Source organism: Homo sapiens, chromosome 3 (assembly GCF_000001405.40).
Source record: "Homo sapiens chromosome 3, GRCh38.p14 Primary Assembly".
In the NCBI taxonomy this organism is placed as follows: domain Eukaryota; kingdom Metazoa; phylum Chordata; class Mammalia; order Primates; family Hominidae; genus Homo; species Homo sapiens.
Window position 1 is genome coordinate 98,961,421 of NC_000003.12, and position 24,108 is coordinate 98,985,528.

The 24,108-nt window shown below is 37.2% G+C and overlaps 1 long non-coding RNA gene across 12 annotated transcripts in view; it reads left to right on the top strand.

Annotated features, from left to right (window-relative positions):
• Window positions 1-24,108, top strand: part of LINC00973 (long intergenic non-protein coding RNA 973) — an 84,276-nt gene that overhangs the window by 46,855 nt on the left and 13,313 nt on the right. For 2 of the 12 annotated variants that reach the window (NR_186665.1, NR_186667.1), the window contains exon 2: window positions 21,044-21,114. This is a non-coding gene — a long non-coding RNA (long intergenic non-protein coding RNA 973). Of the gene's footprint in view, window positions 1-506; window positions 719-2,051; window positions 2,138-5,663; window positions 5,898-19,634; window positions 19,967-21,043; window positions 23,059-24,108 lie in introns of those variants that run through there. The other 10 variants (NR_186670.1, NR_186675.1, NR_186676.1 and 7 more) reach the window with 10 other exon arrangements.

The window sequence follows — 24,108 nt, forward strand, 5'->3', positions numbered from 1 at the left end:
TAATTATCTACAATGTATGTTTCTTCTATAGTTAGAGCAAACTCTTTGAAGAAAGGGTTCATGTTTTCATCTTTGCATCCCCGTGACTTATAATAGTATCTGGCACATAAATAAGCAACCAATATATGTTGACTTAGTAAATAAATGGGGAGGGATGAAAAAATGATATGTATCCTAGAGACAGGGAGTAGTCTGTTTTGTATGAAAAAGAAGGCATGAATAAAAGAATAGTAAAAGATCAGACTGCAAAGATATTTGTGAGTTACATTATTGAATGCTTTCAAAGCCTGGACTTAGTAGTTTATTCAGGAGGATTTAAAGAAAATAGAATGTGTTTTTCTATTAAGAGGTGACATAAAGTGACATGGTAGAAACATTAATCTGGTGGAGGTATTAGAAAGTATTTGGTAATTACAAAGCATTTAGTCATTTAATAAAAATGTATATGGGCTTATATAAATATTGTGGTTTTTAGTGCTTTAGAGAGCATGTGAACTCAATCTGGGGTCACTCCCAAGCCTGGAAGAGAATGAGAAGGAGGCAGTAGAATATCATTATAATCATACTACTTGTCCCAGGGGATCCATGTATTCTACTGAAGAGTGGGAGTAGTTCAAAATGGAGAAATGAGGAAACCATGACAAAGAGTCTGGATAATCATTAGAACTGATTAAAGTCAGGCTGCCCTAGATTGAAAAGTGTGTGCCTCTGCTCACAGGTATGCTTTTTTTTTGGTACATTCCATGGTGGGCATTGCTATTTGTATCTAGGTTATCTTAGAAGAATCTGGTAGCTCTTTTTTCTGCCCACTCAACTTTTCCATCTTCCTTTTCATAGCTACAATATTTCCTTTCCTTTGGCAGACTCCTCTCTTCTTTACATGGTCCTGGTATACATATTGATCATTGCATTCCTATCCTCTACCTTCCCAGGCACATAGTTGAATACATGAATCAGGCTGAGCCAGTCGCGGTACCACATCCACTAGAACAGTTATTATTGACAGCAGTGTACATATCAACTAAACAAGGCCAATCAGAATTATTCTCCAGAACCTTACAGTGGGAGGTAGATAGGAATGACTTTCTCATGCTTAGCATGCAACCTGTAAGAATGTGGATCTGAATTGTCAGTGGCCGTCAATTCATGCATGGAGTGAGACTGCAAAGAGTAGAAAATAAAGAAGCCAAATACAAAGAGAAGCAGAGAACAACAGCATCATGGTATTCCTGAGGCCCCTGACTCAGTCCCTGAATCACTGGTCTCTGTGGCTTCTCTTCCAAGTTAATGATCTATCTCAGTGTGCTTCCTAACCAGATGAGTCAACTCATTTCTCTTTTTCTTTCCATTAATTTTTGTTGGGTTGTGGTCATATGCAACCAAAGGAATCTTAACTAATAGAATTACCCCTTACCTAAGGATATAATAATGCGGGGGTGCAGCCATCTAGCAGTAGTCTGGGATCTGAAATATCAGCTTTTATGCTATACAAACATTTCCCTCAGTATTCATTGGTGATGCAAAGTTAGGAATAATCCACCTTGGTTCTCTACCATCTCTAAATTTCCTCTCAAAATCCAGCAAAATTATTAAAAATCTAAAAATGAAAGCTTTAAATTCTAATAGCAAAAGAGTTCAAATCATTAAAATATGAAGAGACTTTTTCTCTTCCTTTATATTACCTCAGCAGTGACTCAGAGTGTGTATACATCCTAATGTAGTCTGCCCATTAGGTCCAGATGAGGCTTCCCTTATTGAGACACTTAACAACCACAAAGATAGGTTTTCTTCCAGTATCCCCACTCCCCAGTAGACAATGATGAACAAAAAGGACAGGATAACAGCAGAACCCACTCTGATTTGGGGAGGGGGAGAAGGGAGACAGCCAGTGGTCATTAGGCTGTGGAAGTTTTGAAATCCAACTGAGTAGACATTGGGAGTAGACTCTGGGTTGAGAGAGCTTCCTTAAATCTTTAGGTTGTGATGCTGTTTATAGGAGGCATCTCTTTGTCTATAGATGTTTGCAGGATGTATCTTTTTTTCTTCTTCAGTGGATCTGAAGTGGATATTGGAAGTACATGCCCTCCTTGGATGCTGAATAGCTTTCTCAGGCCATTCACATGAAAACAGCTTGGAGGTTCGTCTTGCTTTCAATCAAATGCTTTTTTGGTCATGTTCCAGTATTTTTGGCAATGCAATCTATCAAGAGGCTTTTGATCTGTATATCACAAGTAAATTTTACATACCAGTAATCACACTAAAAGCTGCTTTCAAAATAGGATTTTCAGATCTGCTTTATTTCTGTGCTTCTTCATACATGCGCCTTGCTTTTTTGAGGCTATCTTGGGGCTGTTGAGCTTAAATGGGAAGATTATACCCTTAATCTGAATTTGCCTAGAAACACTTGAATGAACTGAAAGTTTTTCTTGGGTATTTGTCACTCAAAGCCTTTTTAGTCCTGTTTCTTACTTTTGAGGTATAGAAGCAGTTGACTTTCCAGATTGAAAGTCCCTGAATTTCTGGTCTTTCCCTACAAATTATCTTCCAATCCGCTTTCCCACGGTCAATTCTTTCTGAGTTTATATAAGAGCCACCAATGCACAGTACTAAAGTTCTATTTTCTACCCTTGTCTCTAAACTCCTGGCTCAATACCCATATGAGCTGACTTCCAAGTCACTGCATATGATGGTTTTGTCAAATATTTCACCACTGAAAAACACATTCTCATTATCATTTCAGCTGCTGATATCAGTTTCCTTGATGCTCATTACCCACTAAGCAAATTCATATGTTTTAGGTTGTTTTTATACCAACACTTCACATTGAGGTACTAGTATTCTTATTAGAATAATTAATGCTAGCTGGCGCAACAGACATTCTGAAATATCAGTGCTTATACAACAAAGCTTTGATCTTGTTTACACTGCATGCTCAGAGGAGTTGGTGGACATGATGATCCATGAAGTTATTCAGGAAACCAGGCTAATGGAGCTACACCCCTGGGAACACCTGGAGTTTGGGGTCCCCCTGGCACAGGAAGAGAAGGATGAAGTTACACACTAATTTCCAACTCCTGGAGTTATAAACAAATATCTTTTCTATTCGTGGTCTATTTGCCTTAACTAGTCACCGGACTGTAACCTAATTGCAAGCGAGGTTGGGAAACACAGGGAGCATATGGAATAGTCGGTGAGTCCTGTCTCTGTCCCAGGAACCTACTGTGGGAATATAAAGATGTAAGAGGAAGACTAAGCATTAGCCAGGAACATCCTGGAAGGAAAGTATCAGGTAGTAATTAGTTATGTTCAACAAACATTTCCAGTTCTTTTCTCCAGCATGCTGTACTTCTCTATTTTCCTGGAGGTGGATTGGTCTTGTGCTTTGGTCATTAGTTACTCTGGGCAATGAAATGTGAACAGAATGAAATGTATTTCTTCCAGGTGGACTCCCTAAGCAATTTGTTGAGTACTATCTTTCCATCTGCCTCAATGACCAGTGGTGTTCCACGATAGAGGTTGCTGCATTAGCCTGGGGACAAAAGTGAGCATGACAGGAAGCAGAAACTCCGCCAAATCACACAGACATGTAGTGAGAATGTGAAATAAATCCCAGTTTCAAGTCTCTGGGATGTGCATGGCTGTTTATCAGCAAAACAGATTTCATTCCACTGTGACTGACATTACATGTTTTTATCTTTGTTTCTTTAATACTAGGGACTCAACAAATGACTGTTGAAGGGATTTTTAAGTGACTACTCTGCTTGTTTTACTACTATTTCCCTTGTGTACCTTGGTATCTCTTATTAGCAATGATGTTCCCAAGCAATATAAACACATTTTCTAATAGTTCCCTGGATAGAATTCAAGCCAGTAGCCATTCACAACCTGGAGCTATAATGAAGAATATGAGCAGGGCCACCCATGGCTTCTCTTAGCCTTACTTTCAAAGCAACATTCTCTCTGCAAGTGAATTTTAGCAGAATGTCCTTCAAATACAAACCCTTTCATTACTTCTCTTTCTTTCTCATTTTCTCTCTCCTTTCCTTCTTGCCTCAATATTATCCTTCCTTCATTTTTTTGGGGAAGAAAATTATTTCTTCATTATGATAACAGCACAATGCATATTAGAGTATTCTTAGGAAATATAAAGTGGCTTGATTTTACATTTGGATTTAATTATAGGTAGAATTATAATGGAAAATTCACTAGGCTTGTATTCAGGAAATCTAGGTTTAAATTCTGTCTCTGCTACTTACTAGCTGCGGAAATTTAGTTAATTTATTCATCTGCAAAATGGGGCTAATAGGTGCTGGGTCTTCCATAGTGTTGTTATGAAAATAAAAATATAATAAAATATGATGGTTGTAACTCCTCTTTTAATGTCACCATAAACACCAGAGGTACTGTTATCATAGAACATTTTTTTCCATAACTTTTGCTTGTTTTTATTAAGTGCTTTTAAACTTGAGGAAACCCATGAGACAGACTTATCTGATTTCAAACTGTATTGATTCTCTACACTTGTCTGCTCTGTACAGGAGTTTAAGCATAATCATCTAAGAAGAAGCTTGGTTAAGGCAACTTTTTTTTTTTTTTTTGAGATGGAGTTTCGCTCTCGTTGCCCAGGTTGGAGTGCAATGGCGCGATCTCGGCTCACTGCAACCTCCGCCTCCCAGGTTCAAGCAATTCTCCTGCCTCAGCCTCCCAAGTAGCTGGGATTACAGGCATGCACCACCATGCCCGGCTACTGTTGTATTTTTAGTAGAGATGGGGTTTCTCCATGTTGAGACTGGTCTCGAACTCCTGACCTCAGGTGATCCACCCGCCTCGGCCTCCCAAAGTGCTGGGATTACAGGCATCAGCCACTGTGCCTGGCCAAGGCAACATTTTTTAATAACAGCCTTTTACCTGCCAATTTGGGGTAAAAAACATATTGACTGATATTTAAATATGGGATTTACTCAATCCAAAGAGATTTCGGCTTTTGAACTTTATACAGCAACGAAAAGATAAAATGGAAAGATTGAATCTGCAGAAAGTTATGAGAACTCTTTGCAGTTTAAATAGATAACAAGCGAAATTATGTTTACCAATAATTTTGATATTTACTTTCAATTCTTCTGACTAGGGAACTGGCAAAACTTGTAGGTAGGTTGTGCTTGAAAGAACTGTGACTAATAGTTGCTTCCTGTTGCTTTCCTGGTTCTCTTCTCTTTTGTTGTACCATTTTGAATCATCCAATGACTTTTGTGATCCTTGCTGTTGATGACCCACCAGTGTACCAAATGGTTTTTTGTTGTTGTTTTGATTTGGCTCACTTTTTTTTTTTTGCAATTTAAAGGAATTTTCAGTCTTTACAAAGTAATTTTCTCAAACATTTTAAATAGAGTTCTTATGTATGGTTATTTTTAAAGAACTAAGCGTTGCTGTTCTTAATTTCATATAATTCAAGGCAGATAGGTCAGATCACTTCTCTTGCCTCCTCAATCACTCTCAGCTCTTCTATATCTTGTTTTCTGCCAGACAGGTTGACTCATGTGGACCACATCATAAGTTCCCACACCCTTTTCATTCCTACTGAGTTTGCCCAGTTTGCCAATGGGGAGCCCTGGCAGTAGATTGGAGGGAAGGGGAATGAGGCCCCGGCACCCTTGCTGCAAGGTCTCTTCCTGCTGGCTGTGTCTCTCCAACAGAATATTGACTCCCGTAAGGCAGTAGGCATGACTCTGTGGATCCTGTACTATGTCTGCCCCTCTTAATAGCTTAGGTATTAGGCTATTACTAATCCTTGGATGTATGGTTCCCATAATCCACATCTTTGCAAATAGTCTCTTTGTAAATAAACCCTCATGAAATTATTCTATTTTGAACTACACCATCTGTTTTCTCTTGGGATGGTAAGTAATTCAGTGGATGTCTCCGTTTGGATCTGCTCTCCATGTTCCTACTTTCTCTTTTATTGTTGCTGTTGTTGTTGGCACTTTATGGGTATATGATGCCTGCTATGCATGCCCTTTCTGTGTATTTTTTCTATTTAGCATGATGTGTCTTTTTGTTCTCTGCCTTTATGTTCTCCGCCAAATGAGTGCTGTAATTTTCACATCTGTAATGTGTTTCTTTTGTCCTTTTATTTTAAAATAATAAAAAACCTACAAAGAATTAGCAAAGCTAGATTTAAGAGCTTTTTGATTCTGAACAATTTGAGCTAAGTTGTTGGTAAGAAGCCCCATAACTTCAAATACCTTAGTGAATATTTTATACAAGTAAGTAGTTTTCTGTATAACCACAGTAACATTATCAAATCAGGAAATTAAGAAGGATTCACTATTATTACCTAAATCACAAGTATCATTCAACTTTTTGCCAATTATCCCAATAATTTCCTTAAAAATAATTTAGTCCAAGATCACATGTTACAGTCAGCTGTTGTGTTTCTATTGTCTCCTTTATCAGGAACAGTTCCTCAGTCTCTTTTCACTTTCATGACCTGGACTTTTTATCACATTAGTCACCAAATCTGATTTATCTAATGTTTCCTTATTATTAGATTCAAGTTGTGCTTCTCCTAGGGCTGGAATATTACAGTAATGATTTTGTGTTCTTCTCATTGCATCCAATTAGATGGCACATGCTTTCAATTTGTCCCATTACTGATGATGTTAACTTTAATAATTTGTTTAGGTGGTGTCTGCCAGATTTCTCCACTGTACAGTCACTCCTTTCTTCCTTATATTTAATAAGCATTTTGTGAATAGTTGAGCCTATGTAACATTTCATTTCTCATCACACTTACATTTGGTAATTTTAGTATCTGTTGACATTTTTTGGCTGAATTAATTATTACTATGATGGTTGCCCGCTAGTTATCTTCTAATTTTACCATTTCTTCTGCATTTATTAGTTGGCATTCTACTGCAATAATTTATTCCTTCCAATTTACTTTTTTACTTATTTATTCATATCAGTATGGAGGTATAAATTCCTGTTTTATTCAGTAGGTTATTATTCATTCTGAGGCTTGGATTGTCCCAGATTCACCAGTGGGAGCTATTCCAAACTGGCTTTCATAATTGTTTGACCATTTCCTTGATATATTAAATAAAACATTCAGACTCATCTTTAATTTTTCCTGCTCTCACCCTGAAGTTAGCCATTTCTCTGAGGAGCACTGGTTCCTTTTAGTGAAGAATTGTTTTTAGAAATCAAGATCTGGCACCAGTATGCTCTCTGGTTTTGAAGTGTTATTGTATCCAGAGTCTGTCAATGGATAGAGCTAGGTAATATATGTAGGCAAGTGTTTTTTATACATACATACATTCACCAGTACATTAACTATCTATTTTTTCTTGAGGTACAAAATTTTTTTTTTGAGGTACAAAAAGAACTACCTCAAAATTTAGTGCTTAAAACAATGGACATTAATTACTTCGCAGTTTTATCCAGAATTCAGAGGGCATGGTTCTGGCTCCATGACTCTCGTAAAATTTCAGTCAAGATGTGGCCTAAGGCTTGTCTGAGGCTGGGGGATCCACGTTCAAGGTGGCTCACTCACATGTCCGAAGAGTTAGGGCTGGTTATTGGCTAGAGGCCTCATTTCCTCATGTCATTGACCTCTCCATAGAGCTGCTTGAGTATCTCATAAAATGGTGTCTGGTTTCCCCCAGAAGGATAGCCAGGAAGAAGCCAGAATGTCTTTTATGGCCTGGTCTCAAAGTCTCACTTTGTAATTTTCACAGTATACTATTGCTTACACAGGTTGACACTGTTTAGTATGGGAGGTGTCTACACAGAAGTCTGAATACCTTCCGAGGCAAGAAAAACTGGGGACCATTTTAGAGACAGGCTACCACAATATTTATATTTATTTCTTTATCTCTATTTTGATATCATTCTATCTATGCACTTATCTATCAATTGATAAAAACTATGAGTTCATATCAATACCTTGAAATCCAATCCAACACCACAGGATTCATTCCAGTTTTTGCTTTTTTCATGAGAATGAGAAAGCTGGTTCCCATTATGCTCATATACAAGTTGAGTATCTCTTATTCAAAATGCCTGGGACCAGAAGTGTTTCAGATTTCAGATTTTTTTGGATTGTGAAATATTTGCATTATACTTACTAGGTGAGCATCTGAAGTCTGAAAATTCAAAATCTGAAATCCTCTAATGAGCATTTCTTTTGAGCATCATGTTGACACTAAAAACTTCAGAATTTTGGAGCATTTTAGATTTCTTACTTTTGGATTTGGGGTGCTCAACCTGTATTCTTACTTATTTATTTATTTTTTTGAGAAGGAGTCTCGCTCTGTCGCCCAGGCTGGAGTGCAGTGGCACGATCTCGGCTCACTGCAAGCTCCGCCTCCTGGGTTCACACCATTCTCCTGCCTCAGCCTCCCGAGTAGCTGGGACTGCAGGCGCCCGCCACCATGCCCGGCTGATTTTTTGTATTTTTAGTAGAGACGGCGATTCACCGTGTTAGCCAGGATGGTTTCGATCTCCTGACCTCGTGATCCGCCCACCTCAACCTCTCAAAGTGCTGGGATTACAGGCGTGAGCCACCGCACCCGGCCTCAACCTGTGTTCTTAATCTCCTGGTCCTATGCTCAGCTACTGCTACCCCTTCATGGGGACTCTTACCCAGTGGTAGGCCACTGTAGTCTCACTTCTCTCCTACCCCATATGGACTAGTAGCTCACTAAGACCCCACCTAATGGTTTTTGAATTGAGTTATTCAGGAAGGAAGCTAAGTAGGTATGACTGTTTTTTGTTTCGAATTATGGCAATGGGAAGGTTTTATTATACTTAGATTTGGACTAGAGAAACCTCTACCTTTAGTCTAAACTGAAAAATGCTCCTCACATCTATCCAGAGGTCTGAGAACTCTGTCACATTTTCTGTGTAGATGGGTCAGGCACTTACTCCCTTTGTGAACAGTTGCTTATTTAACCTGTCAAGGATATTTTACGTAGGCTACATCTACATCTTCTCACTGCCATTTCCTCCTTTCCCTTCCCTTCATTTTCCTCTCATTTCTTTCCTCTTCACTTCCTACAGCATTCATACACTCCCATTTTTTTAGCTGCCTTTGCATAAAACTTATTACTGAGACTTATTAGCACACTCAAAGACATTGCTTGTTTTCACAGTAGCACCCAAGTTATTAATTGTATGGTGATAAAAAATCAAATCTCCGCCAGGCATGGTGGCTCAGGCCTGTAATCCCAGCACTTTGGGAGGCTAAGGCGGGCAGATCATGAGGTCAGGAGTTCGAGACCAGTCTGGCCAATATGGTGAAACCCTGTCTCTACTAAAAATACAAAAATTAGCCAGGTGTGGTGGTGTGCATCTGTAGTCCCAGCTACTGGGGAGGCTGAGGCAGAAGAATAGCTTGAACCTGGGTGGGACAGAGGTTGCAGTGAGCCGAGATCACGCCAGTGCACTCTAGCCTGGGTGACAGAGTGAGACTCCGTCTCAAAAATAAATAAATAAATAAATAATAATAAAAAATAAATAAAAATCAAATCTCCATTGATGCTTCATTTTAAAAAAGAATACATTAGAATGACCTTTCACATTTTAGCCCTTTATTGCAAATAAAAGTGCTTTGAGAACATGGCAATAGAATTTTTGAAAATGTCACCATTATTTTTAAGTCTCTGTTGAAGAACTTACTAGTGATCTAAGGACTTCGATTTCAGAATAAGAAATTTGAAGAAGTGAGGCAAGATTTCCAACACTAAAAATGATTATCCTAACAATATACCTTCTCTAAATTACATGCCAATGAATCATACAGACTATTATTCTTACTTTGATCCTTTCATCTCCCCAGGAAGTTAGGGTGATTTACTAGATGACACATTTCCTAATGGTTATGAGACAGAGGTTCTTGACATATCAGAGAAGCATAATCATTGATGAGCATGATGTTTAGTCATAATGTCCTCTAACATAAAGAAAGATAATGGGCCTTTTTTTCCAAGATGTGAACTTGGAGATTGGGCTTGGTTGAATCACCCACATAATTGAATGAGGTTTGGGGACTTTGTATATGAGGTTTTTTCCTCTATTCATAGAAATATCAGTTTGTTATACCCTGTCTGTGGAATGATGTATGGCAGGGGTTACAACACACACATGTCAGAGTCAGCGGACTGACACCTCTGAGCTAAAAAATTCTTACATCTCACTTGAGAATAAGATGTAGAGGAAGTCAGTAGAAGGACAGCCCACAGAGTGGGCTCAGCCTACTGAGCATGGGGGAATTCACGTTCAGTAGGTAGCCAGGGAAATAAGGGCAAATTAATACTAAGTACATCTCATGGTCCCTGAGGTTAACGTTACACAAAGCTAATATGTAATGTCAGTTTTGTGCTGTGAAGAATTCACCATGGCTTATAAAATGGCCTACATTTTTTGAGTAAGGCAAATGCCAAATTTTATCTAAAGTAATTCTTTAGAAAAATCATTTCAGCAAATTAGGAAAAGGATGAAGTAAGCAACCATAAAAGATAAACACTTTAAAATGTGATGAGTGGCACTTTATAGGAGCACAGAAAAATTCCGATAACATAGCATGACAAAATTAACCACAGAATAGAATATCGGGAGTTTCCAGATATCACTTTTATTTGGGCTTCTGATTAAGTATATGTACTAAGATTTTTAAGAAATTAAATTAAAAGTGGCTTTTGATCATGGTTCCTTCTGATTTTAAGAAGATAAAAAGCAGCAGTTCTCCAATATGAATTTTGACATAAATTTTCTTCATCTAGTTACCCTAATTTTAGTTTTTCTGGATGCATTATTAAATGTGTTTTGAAGGGCAATGTAAAGAAAACACAAAAGGACCGAATGAGCTATGATCTCACTCTGGGGGAGGGAAGGATTGGAAGGGAATATAAATCCCAGAGGTTCTTTCCCAGGAGTCATCATGGAAATATTAAACACACACACACACACACACACACACAGAGAGAGAGAGAGAGGGAGGTTGGTTTCACTGCACTTTCAACAAGTCCGTCATTCTCTGTTTCCTTGAGTATGTGTTCATTATCTCACTTTTCTTTATAAGAGAACTAAAAGGAACAAAGTTAATGTAATTTCCAAATAAGATCTGCAAATGGTTAACAAAACAAAAATTTTAAAAATACATATTAAAACTGCTCTGTTTATGAAAAGAATCTTTTCTTAACAGGAAAGAAAACTATAATACATAGTTTAGCAGAAGGAAAATTCCATAGGAACAAAATTATTAGCGTTTTTTAACCTTGGAATGACAGTTTGTCATTATCTTTCAAAGTATGAAAACGAAGTTTTCTATTTCCCAGTAAAATTTTTTTTTGTGGCACAAAAATATTATTCGTCATTATAGCAAAGATTTATTGTCTTGTCTCTAGCCTTTGTTACTCCATCTTCTCATAACAGCACCTTCATTTTCCTTAAGATATAATCTTTCACAGTTTATGTGGTATGGCTGGGGTGGACTCTCCTTCCCCCTTGTCTGTGTGACCCGAGCTTGACCAATCAACACATCCAGTTCACTGGTCACAGTGATTGGTTCAGGGATTATCATGTGACCCAATTTAGGCCAATGAGAATTCTTCTGAAACTTAGTTGTACATGTGGGTAATAAGTTTTTCACTGCCATTTTTAGCTGTAGGATGATGAAGGAGGCCTGCAGGTACTGGGAACCACCACGCAGGCAGAACCAGGCTGAAAATAGAGGTAGCAAAGAAGGAAGTGCTGTTAAGGGGAACAAAAAGACTGAGTGCCAAGGGCCATATTTAATTTCTTTCACAGAACAGTTTTTTTTTTTTTTTTTAAGGATTAGGTTGACTTTTTTTTTTTTTTGAGATGGAGTCTCGCTCTGTCGCCCAGGCTGGAGTGCAGTGGCTAGATCTCAGCTCACTGCAAGCTCCGCCTCCTGGGTTCACACCATTCTCCTGCCTCAGCCTCCCGAGTAGCTGGGACTACAGGCGCCCGCCACCACGCCCGGCTAATTTTTTGTATTTTTAGTAGAGATGGGGTTTCACCGTGTTAGCCAGGATGGTCTCGATCTTCTGACCTCGTGATCCACCTGTCTTGGCCTCCCAAAGTTCTGGGATTACAGGCGTGAGCCACCGCGCCCGGCCTAGGTTGACTTTTTTACAAAATAATTAGCAGTTGGCAAATATGGGCTACATGTAATGTCAATATTGATTGTAAAGCAATAAGTAGTCAATTCATACTGAAGTTTTAAACTTTTTTGCCTTAACCTATGTGGATTTTTACAATTTAATTAACTAAAACATTTTAATACTTATTATGGACTAGTCACCATTTTAAACACTTTAGCAAAAGCAGCCCACTTAATCCTCAAAATAATCCCTTGGTATAGAAATTACTGACATCTTTATTTTACCATGGAGAAAGATGAGGCTCAGAGAGGTTATGTAACTTGCCCAAGATCTGGTCAAGAACTGGTTAATTAATAAGAACAGAAATGTATTTCTCACAGTTTTAGAAGCAGGGAAGTCCAAGATCAAGGTGCTGGCATTTGATGAGAGCCTTCTTGCTGTGTCCTCACATGATGAAAGGCAGAAGGCTAATAGAAGGATGAACTCCCCAAGTCAGAGCGTTTTATAAGGGCACCTAATCCCATTCACAAGGAAGGAGCCCTCATGGCCTAATCTTAAAGCACCTGTTTAAGGTTTAGGCTCCACCTTCTAATATTGTCACATTGGCAACACCTGAATTTTGGAGGAAACACATTTAAACCATAGCATCTACCTCTGGAGGTTATTCTGAGGATTTCAAATGGCAGTACCTAAATGGCATGTAGCAAAGTATACTAATTTAACTATTATTATGGATAAATCTTATCCTTTTTGTTATATCTTATGCATTTTTTTGATTTCTATTCCCTTTCTCAATACGTGTGACTATTCTGCTGTCATTAAACCAGTGCTTTTATTATTTTCTCAAAAGTCCATTCTTTTAATTAAGTTCAGCTTTTTAATCATCTCTTATCCTAATTTGTTCTCCCAGTTGTTACAGGCTTTTCTTTTGGAATAACAAATAAAAGGATGGGATACAGAAAAAAATGAAGTCCTTGACCCACCTTTTTCTCTCTGTCTTTAGAGAACTAACCTTTAGGTACCCAGTCATTTCCTGTTCCCATAGAAGTTGAGAGATATTGGTGTCATGTTTGTTCAGCACTTTAAACCATCTTCTTTGGAGAGGGACTGAACTACTAACTATCTGTTAGTGAGTTGCCTCTGATCTCATAATTACAAATAGGAAGCCAGTGTAAATGTTAGCTCAGTTTTCAAGGGCAAAGGCCAAGAATCAATCACATTAAATATAATTTAAAAATTCTGCTAAAAACAAGCAATGAGGAAAGGATTTTCTATTTAACAAATGGTTCTGGGAGAACTGGCTAGCCATATGCAGAAAATTGAAACTGGACCCCTTCCTTACACCTTATACAAAAATTAACTCAAGATGGATTAAAGACTTACATATAAAACCCAAAACTATAAAAACCCTAGAAGAAAATCTAGGCAATACCATTAAGGACATAGGCATGGGCAAAGATATCATGATGACATTGCCAAAAGCAATTGCAATCAAAGCAAAAATTGACAAATGGGTTCTAATTAAACTAAAGAGCTTCTCTGCACAGCAAAAGAAACTATCATCAGAGAGAACAGGCAACCTACAGAGTGGGAGAAGATTTTTGCAATCTATCCATCTGACAAAGGTCTAATATCCAGAATCTACAAGGAACTTAAACAAATTTACAAGAAAAAAAAAACCAACCCCATTAAAAACCAGGCAAAGGACATGAACAGGCACTTCTCAAAAGAAGACATTCATGCTCCCAACAAACATATGAAGAAAAGTTCAACATCACTATCATTAGAGAAATGCAAATTAAAACCACAATGAGATACCATCTCACACCATTCAGAATGGTGATTATTAAAAAGTCAAGAAACCACAGATGCTGGTGAGGCTGTGGAGAAATAGGAACAATTTTACAGGGTTGATGGGAGTGTAAATTAGTTCAACCATTGTGGAAGATGGTGTGGTGATTCCTCAAAGATCTAGAACTTGAAATACCATTTGACCCAGCAATCCCATTACTGGGTATATACCTAAGGGAATAGAAATCATTCTATTACAAAGATACATGGACACATATGTTCACTGCAGGACTATTCACAATAGCAAAGATATGGAATCAACCCAAATGCCCATCAATGATAGACTGGATAAAGAAAATGTGGTACATACACGCCACAGAATACTATGCAGCCATAAAAGGGAATGAGATCATGTTCTTTGCAGGGACATGGATGGAGCTGGAATCCATTATCTTTAGCAAACTAATGCAGGAGCAGAAAACCAAACACCATTTAATCTCACTTATAAGTGGTAACTGAACAATGAGAACACATGGACACAGGGAAGGGAATAGCACACACTGGGGCCTGTTGGGAGGGTGGAATCAGGGGAAGGGGTGCATTAGGAAAAATAGCTAATGCATCTTGGGCTTAATACCTAAGTGATGGGTTGATAGGTGCAGCAAACCACCATGGCACACGTTTACCTATGTAGCAAACTTGCACATCCTGCACGTGTACTCCAGAACTTAAAAAAAAAAATTCTGCTGCTCTGAATGACTAATACGAAGTATTTAACAATATATAATAATACAATACTGTTGGAAAATCTGTGCAGAGGCAAAGCATTATAGATTGTGGTTGTTTAGTTCCTGTGCATTGTGGGTCACAAGCAGCCAAACTAAGTGCTTTGGAATATTTCCCTAAACTCAGTCCAGCGTTGGACACTTTGCACTCACAGACAAAAAACAAAATGGGCTTTTTCCCCTCCCCACCTCTGAGAAAAAGATCTGATCTACTCCAGAAGGAAGGCTTATGGTAATTATAAGTAGTCAATTGAGTACTGAATTATACCCGTTGTTTTAGTCAGCCTGGGCTGCCATAACAAAATACCATAGACTATTGGCTTAAACAAGAACAATTTCTCACAGTTCTGGAGGCTGGATGTCCGAGATCAGGGTGCCCAAGTAGTTGGCTTCTGGTGAGGACCACTTCCTAGCATGCAGATAGTTGCTTTCTTTCTGTGTCCTCACATGGCAGAGATAGAGTGAGCTCTTGTCCCTCTCTCTTCTTATAAGGAAAATAATCTCATCATGTGGGCCTCACCTTCAAGACCTCATCTAAACCTAATTACCTTCCAAAGGCCTCACCTCCAAATATTATCACATTGAGGGGTAGGGGTTCAACATGAGTTTTGGTGGGGGACACAGATATTCAGTTCATAGGACTCACTTTTCTCCTCTTATGATTTTCTTAGAGCAGGAGTGAATATTTATTTAAAAGCTTTAGAGCAGGAATGAAAGGAAGTAAAATACACTTGGAAGAGGACTAAGTGGGTGACTTGAGAGAGTCAAGTGTGTGGTTTGACTTGGGGTTTTATACGTTGGCATTTTTTTTTTTTTTTTTTTTTGAGACGGAGTCTCGCTCTGTCACCCAGGCTGGAGTGCAGTGGCGCGGTCTCGGCTCACTTCAAGCTCCGCCTCCCGGGTTCACCCCATTCTCCTGCCTCAGCCTCCCGACTAGCTGGGACTACAGGCGCCTGCCACCACGCCTGGCTAATTTTTTTTATTTTTTAGTAGAGACGGGGTTTCACAGTGTTAGCCAGGATGGTCTCGATCTCCTGACTCGTGATTCACCCGCCTCGGCCTCCCAAAGTGCTGCGATTACAGGCGTGAGCCACCGCGCCCGGCCAGGGGGTCTTACATCCCTTCTCCCTGATTCTTCTTGTGACTTTCTATGGAAATCAGCTATGGAGATCGATTTGAATATAATTATATTCTACCATAATTGCATATGAACTTAAAAGTTTACTTCCTCTGAACTTTAAATCAAAGTCATTATTAAAATTTCTCAGTTCTAACATTTAATGACCTAACTAGATCTTGGAGTTGGACTGAAGAAAATTGACCTAATATCTTTTTTGTCCTTGAATATTAAATTTAGTATCTTATATTTTCTCATGTAGTGAAGAAATATTAAAAGAAAATACTTTCACTTAAGTGTTTCATCTCATTGCTAACAAGAAATATTATGAAATGAACATCACTCTTTCCTCTGAGGAATTCTCTAGCCATTACTGGAGGCAGGATGTGGTGTTAGATGGACAAACATGACCTCATGATCCCTCTGCTAATGTGAATCTTTGTGAAAAATTAAGCGTATTTTTTAAACAATCGGTTTAAGGTTTAAGTGCATTGAGGTAGATAAAATGGGATCACCACCCTGCCTCAACTTGGCACCAAGTTGTCTTTGAAACCATGAGTCATCCTTCCTCTTACAAAGTGAAAATGCTCTTCAACAACTCATTGCTTAGTGGCTCAGAAATAATTTTGAAAAACTGATGACAATGCCATCAATTATTTTGTGAAGACAACAAACTCCTCTGATTTTTCCAAATTTGAGGGGTCTTTTCTAAGTCTTTGTGGGTTTTTTTAGACCATGATCTGGCATAGGTTTTTTTTTTTTTGGTTGGGGTGTTGTCTTGGTTGTGAGGTTTTAATTGTCATGTACAAGACTCTTGGGTCTCCAGATGCCTTAAAATGGAATCATTAGTGAATTAAAATAATGTAGCTCTCCAGAGTATGATTTGCTTCAGCTTGTTAGGTTGTTCAACTCTTTGAGAAATAAGATGAAGCAGGAGCTTAAGATGAAAACTTTCAATCTGCAGTAATGTGTTTACAGACCTATTGTTTCAATAGAAAGAAAACAGAGGTCAGAGAGAGTTGCTTAACTTAAACAAAAACTAAATACACACACACATAGACACACAAACACACACAAATATACACATCCTATTTTGTTAAGGACAATGAGGAGTTTCAAAATGACTTAATTATTCTCTGTGGGTCAATAAGTTTATTTATTTTACCTATCTCATCTCTCTTTTTTTTGGCAATTGACAGATTACTTCATGGAACCGTGATATAATTTGGATAGTAACAGATTTTATAGATTAATGAAGTAAGTCTGCGGTAAGATGTGAATTACTTTTTATAAAAACAAGTGATCCATGTACCACCAGAAAAATAGACTAGCAGAAGTCATCTAGTAGTATGTATTATACTCGCCAATGTGATAGCCTAAACAAACACAACCTACCCAGAGTGAAGCAGTATTACAGCAAGTCAGTATGTCAGGGCTGTGGTGAAGCTGGGGAGAAATGATATGTGGAGATTCAAAAAGCAAGGTAAATTCTACCATTGTCAAAAATTTATCAGTAGGAGCTCAGGGAAAGGAATCATATCCTGTGAAGTACATTTCCAGGTGTAAGACATGGTCCTACATCCCAGACGGGCTAGACTACTAAGAAGGTAACCAAAGCAAGAACTTAAACAGAGAGTAGAACAGGGATTGAGTTACCAAACAGGTGTCAACTGGGTTTTACCAACAGGGCAGAAGCTCCATTCCACCAGTCAGTCAGTCAGTCAGTCAGTCAGTCAATCAGCAAACATTTTTGTCTATGTGTAAGCCACCAATATATTAGATTCTAGGGCATAAAATAAAATAAGATATAGTTGCTGTCCTTTAATTGCTCACAGTTAGAGACTGGGATACAAGTTCAAGACCTGTCTAGGAGCGAGAGTCACAGGATGATGAATGCTAGAATAGAGAATCAACGTGATTTACATCTTTTCTGCCAAATGTCAGAATTGGTCTTAGAGATGGGGTATAAGAGGTGGAGTCTGCAAATGGGGATCCAGTAATTCTATTTATGGGTAAAGGAAGGTTGTAGAGGTCAGGAAGAGTAAGGGCCTGCCTCTTCTGGAACAGCATATGCAAGAACATAGAGATGGCATTTTCAAGTCTTGGCAGATATTTCCTTGCTCTGAATCCTATCATAGCTTGAAGAGAGCAGGGGAAGGGTTATGAACAGTTGTAGTTCTCTTTTGCTCTCAGCAAACAGGGACTTCACACATTTTAGTTAATCTGAAGATCAAAGAATGTCATGGGAGAAAATATGTTAAAAGCAAAACAATCCTTTTGAAATTGTGGGAAACCATCCGAGGAAAGACAAACATGTTTTTCCTCTATTAGATCATTTCTCTAGAAAGGAAAATCTTGATGATTTACTTACCTTCTAAGTGATTTTTAAATAATTAGTACCCATATGTGATTTCTGTCTCTATTTCATTATGATACTTTCTTGACACCTATTGTTCACATGAATTCTAAGGATGCTGCCAAAACAAATTTGTCACCTTACATGCTATGGGATAAAGTTATAAAACAATGTAACCAATATTAGCAGATTTCCTTATTCCAGTCTTCCAAATTTTGAGTTTGGTTCATTGTTAAGGGGTCTATTAGGAAGCATGCAGTCAACTCTGACCTAGGAATCAGGAAATTGGGTTTCAATCCTGTCTTTCCCTTTCTTGCTGTGTGACATTGGCCAGATCTCTTAATGGGAATTGGTTTCCTCAACTCCAAAATGCTTAGTTCATGCAGATGTTATAAATCTTAAATGAAATGATGAGGACATTAATACCAATATTTCAGGTTGGAATCTACAACCTCTCCAAATGCCATCCCACCTTTCCCTCAGCCTCATTCCCACATGATTCCTCTACATATCCTCCCTCTCAGCAAAACAAGATCACATTTGATTGACCCTGGGCACTCTTGTTTAGAACGTTTCCCTTCTATTTTCATTCAGGAACACTTTTGTTATTTCCCACTACCTAGAAAATAATGAATGAGGATACAAAGTGACTTTTCTCACTTGTTTTCTTGATGAGTCTGGTCCAAGTAGAGAAGCTGGTTACCTTTTTTCTAAAGCATTTGACTTTGGCTTTAGCCAAAATTTAACAGTATGTTTCTCTCTCTTTTTTCCTTAGTTTGGGTAGATCAGAAAGAGTGGTTTTAATAGGGTACTTTACAGTTAGCAACTTACTTGAAGAGCTTCTATGTTAAAATTAGTGCTTCTGTCAGAAATAGATAAAACATTTAAAATGTCTAGAAAGATTTCAGTTTATTTCAAATTATTGAGGGACTAATGGGCTATTCTCCATCAAAGTTCCTCAGGGACATACTGCTCTAATTATATGTATTGATTATTCTATTTTTCTGTATGCTTCTTAAGTAGTAATGATTTTTTCCAGAATATGCCTCTCTTATGTTTAATTGTTAATAAATATGTTACTAACAAAGTAAAATTATTTATTGAGAATCACAATTATGTACCAGATATTTAAAATAATATTAGTATGACTAGCCCCATTATAGAATATTAATCAAAGTTCAGAAAGGCTAAGTAAATTATCCAAGTTCAACCATAAATATTATTTTCCTGTTGGGGTTCAAGCGCAAGTCTACCTGACTCTAAAATGCAAACTTTTTCTATAATACCTTGAGGCAAACTTCAAATTATAACCTCAAAATGCTTGACTTACCTGTTTTAAATGAGGAGATATTTTTGTCTCCTGGGCTTGACACATACTTGGTGCTCAATAAATATAGAATAAGTGAAGAAATGAGTCATACTTATACCCAGAAAGAGCTGTGTGTATATTTTAGAAAGACACTAGAAGCTCTTGGGAGCATGTGGACAGTTGTGGCTGCTCCTGAGCTGACACTAACTGCTCATGACTCCTCTGTGGGAGAAGTAGGTGGTTTCCTAGAGGAAGAAGTTTGGGTAATGAAGCCACAGAGATTTGCTGATACATTTGCTAGGCACGACTTCTGGTCATTTAGAAAGCTATTTTGTGGCTTCATCAATAAGGTATTCCCCAGCTGTGTTACTCCTTCGCATTGTTATCTCTTTCCCTGGAATTGAAGGCTTCCTGGTCTGAGGCAAGGACAATTATTCCCTCACTGTCAACCCTGATCTCTGGCTGCAGTAATGAGTAGAGGAAGTAAGTAATACTGGGGAATCAATTTTTTTTGTATGGCATGGGATATAACTAATCCTTTGATTCTGAAATGTCATTGGTGTGTAAGATTCTCTGAGCATTCTCAGTAATAATGGGTACTACTGTTTGCAGAAATTAACAGATGGAAGCTGAAGTTCTCATTGCCTGGGAGTTATATTTTCTTTCATGAATAGTTTATTATTTTCTGATTATAAAATAATATATAGGTGTTAAAGAATATAATAAAGAGGAAAATTGAAAGAAGAGAAAAATATCATTTACAATTTCACCACATTAAATAAGACCACTATTGCTAACATTTTGGTAGATTTTTCTACTACCGCTGGCATTTTTTGGTAGTTGATATTATATTATACATATAAGTTTTACTTCTTTTTTTTGTCTGTTCACTTAGTATTCTGTGAATACTTTTCTAAGTGATTAAAAATGTAAAAACTCTTCTAAATAATTTTTTACTTGATGTTATAGTTACCCTCAATATTACTGTAAAGGCTCTTAAATATAAATGCATAATGATTATATACAATGTTCTTTTCTATAAATTAGCCATATCTGTCCAAGTCACATACCTTGTTGTTCATAGAACTAAGACTAGAAACAATTTGCTCTTATTAAACTAAAGGAATAAACAAAGTAAATTTTCTTGGTTTAGTGTTTTCACATTCTTGCTGAAGGCTAATATTAAAAATAAAATTGGGATTTTGATTAAAATTAAAATTATGTACTCTTAAAGAAGTGCTTCACTTAGTATATTCAGTCATTTTTTCAAGGTTCCCACACGATCATTCTGTTTTTAATGAGCTGAATGCAAGGAAAGAACAATGCCAGTAGTATTCTCTACTGGGATTTATTTTGCCTGTTAAAGAATACATCACCTTTGTGTCTGTATCAGATGGAATAGAAGCAGATTTTTACTGACAAATGATATAATATTATGGCATCTGCTATAGGTTTGTAGAACTGGGTTATGTTGTGGTTTTAATTATAACAATTTGATCTATAGTTTGAGTATGAACACTGAGATCTCCCCTTCCAAACTTTTCTTGTCATTTTTTACAGATGAAGAAATAAGAATGGAAGCATAATCATTTGTCCGAGGTCACAGAGGGAGATGATTACACAGCTGGAATGTAAGCCTCAGTACTTTACTGAATCCTTGGCTTTGTCCATGGGCCCAGCTACAGGCATAAAGCTTTTCTCTTCCCCAGCAGTGACTTCGAGTACCAGCTTTCAAATTTATTTGACATTGAATCTAAGCTTTGTGACCAGTATGTAGAAGGAGAAGAAGGGGAGGAATTACTTATCCTTTGGCATACATTAGCATGCAAATAAATCCTTTCTCTGCATTGTGGAAGGGTCTGAAATTATCACATATACAATGTATCTTTTATCAATGGCCTTGCATACAAATTTTACTTTGAAGAATCCAGATTTAGAGGTCTTCTCCAAACATTTGCATTGTTTCTTTTTCTTAGGATCAGAACTTCTACCTATTGTCATTTTAAGAAAAAAGATCATGAATTAATTAATTTATTCATTATTTACACCCTTATATTCTTTCCCAAATGTTTTAATGTGGCTTACATTGTATACATGTACACAATAAATATTTATATTTAAATAAGTTATAATCACAGAATGAGAATATTATTACAACCACTCATACTCATTCAAATAGCTTGATTATATCATTGAGCTTTTCTTTTAGTTCTGGGTTTTTTGCTGCCTAGTTTAAATCAGAATGGCATCTGATTTAATTAATGGAAACTGAGTTTATTTGATTGATGGAAACAAGATGATTTCAAGTGTGATGCACTTTTTCTGTACTAACGTTTGAGATACATTTATTACAACTGGCCACTTCATAATGGGCCATAAGCATTGTTTAAAGACAATGGCTACTATTGTTTGAAAGCTAAGGAAAGATCCAATGCTACCAGATGTATATTGGCTGAGAAATGATCAGCTGAAACTACAGGCTGAAATGCTGTATAAGGTAGGCAATAAAATTAGAGAATGTTTGCCGAACCCACTAAGCAGCAAAGAGGACCCAGCTTAGAAGTAATGTAAATTTTAAAGCTCTTTACCAGTGGCAAGCTAATTTGAAATATTAGAAGTTATTATTTGTTTTATGTTTCTCTCTCTAGCAGTATAGTTTTTAACCGGCTTGTAAGAGCTCTTTTGTTAGTAATGATATCAACCCTTCTTCTCTAAATTAGTTGTTTGCTTATTTACAATTTCTGAATTTTTCTCAAACATGACAATGATTCTGATGCAGTGGTTCTCAATCAGGGGTAGTTTTGTACTCCAAGGGACATTTTGGCAATGTCTGGAGACATTTTTGGTTGTCAGAACTAAGAGGACTGTGCTCTGGGCATTTAGTGGTTAGAGGACAAGAGTGCTGCTAAACATCCTATAACGGACAGGGTGTCACCCACAACAAAGAAGTATCCAACTCCAAATGTCAATAATGCTGCAGCCGAAAAACCCTGGTCTAAGGAATCATCATCCTGGTGTATTTTTTTTTTCCAGTAGTTCGGAAGAATGTGAAGAATTCTCCCAGAATTTTTCAAGATATTCCAAGTACCTATTTATTTTATAATCCTTGAAGACTTACTAAGTACCCATAAACTGGTTGAGGAAAGCCAGTTTCAAAATAAATATGAAATCATATTTATTTTTCTCTGATTAATCAAGGTCATCATGTTTTTAGATGCCCTGCAAAGAAAACTGGTCAAAATGTAAGACTGGCCCTCACATTAAATCATCCAAACTAGTAACACTCCTCTAAAGGACTTCCCTCTTGGAACATTCTTGACTTTCACATAATCAGTAGGCAACCTCCTTAGTCAAGGAGTCCTCTCTAACTGGCAAACCTATCATTTGGAAGAATGATCTTTTCTTCCTCCTTGCTGACTTTAGTTTCAGACAGCTAATTACAAGTCCTTGTTCCTCCGTGACCTAGACCTGTGACTTAAGGCAAATTACAATACCTTTTTTTCATGCCTAATTTTATTTAAAGATTTGAAAACTGTATTGCAATATAACTGAAATAAACTAAATTGCACAAAGTATAAAATTTAATATGTTTGGATATATGTATACACTTAAAAAACTTCACCACAATGAAGATAACAAACATATTCATTACCTGCAATGAAGATAAAGAACATATTCATCACCTGCAAAAGCTTCATTTGCCCCTTTGTAATACCTTCCACTTGTCCCTCCCTGCCTCTTCTCCTTGTTCTCAAGCAACCACTCATTTGCTTTCTGTCACTAAAGATTAGTTTGCATTTTAAAAGAATTTTATAAACTGGAAGAGTCACACAAAATGTCTTAGGGAATTTTTTTCACTCAGTATAATTATTTCAAGATGTATTCCTGTTGTTGAGTGTATCAATAGTTCAGTTATTTTGATACTCAGTAGAATTCTGTTGTATGGATAAACCCCAATTTATTTATCCATTCACCTAGTGGTAGACATTAGGATATAATACTTTTTCTTTCATCAAGTTTTTCACTATCTCTTGATGTTTACTTTTGTAAATGACTATTTTTCTGAGTGCACTGAGTGATAACCAAGCAAAACTTTTTGAAAATCTACCCACCAAAAATATTGCTGAAATATAAAGTTTTTGTGAAATTTGACACCTCACTTTGGACCTCAAAGATATTGGATAAACATGAAAATGACTACTTCTAGTATCACAAAAACAATAAAAATAGAAGAAATAATTATACTACTAACTGCCTAAATCATCAGCCATTTTTCTTACATTTTTTAAAGCAATTGGTCTTCTCAGATTCTCAGTTGGAGGGAATGAGATTTCTTCCCACTTGGGAAGTGGGAAGCAGTAGGTAAGATAAAAATCACTCAGGAAGTGTGAAAAGACTTGGCTTAAGTTGGGTAACTGTGCAGCTGAAAATTAGAATAATAAACTGCCTTTTTAACCTGGATGAAATTTTTTTTACGTTTCATATTTCAGCATTCTAGAACTCTTTTGGAGGGCTTCCATCTCTCCAATTTGTTGCTAGTAAAATACAAAAACTCTGCTTCTTGCAAGGTGTTTGATTTGGAAGATATTCATTAACAATTACTCACCAGGAAAAAGGAACACTCT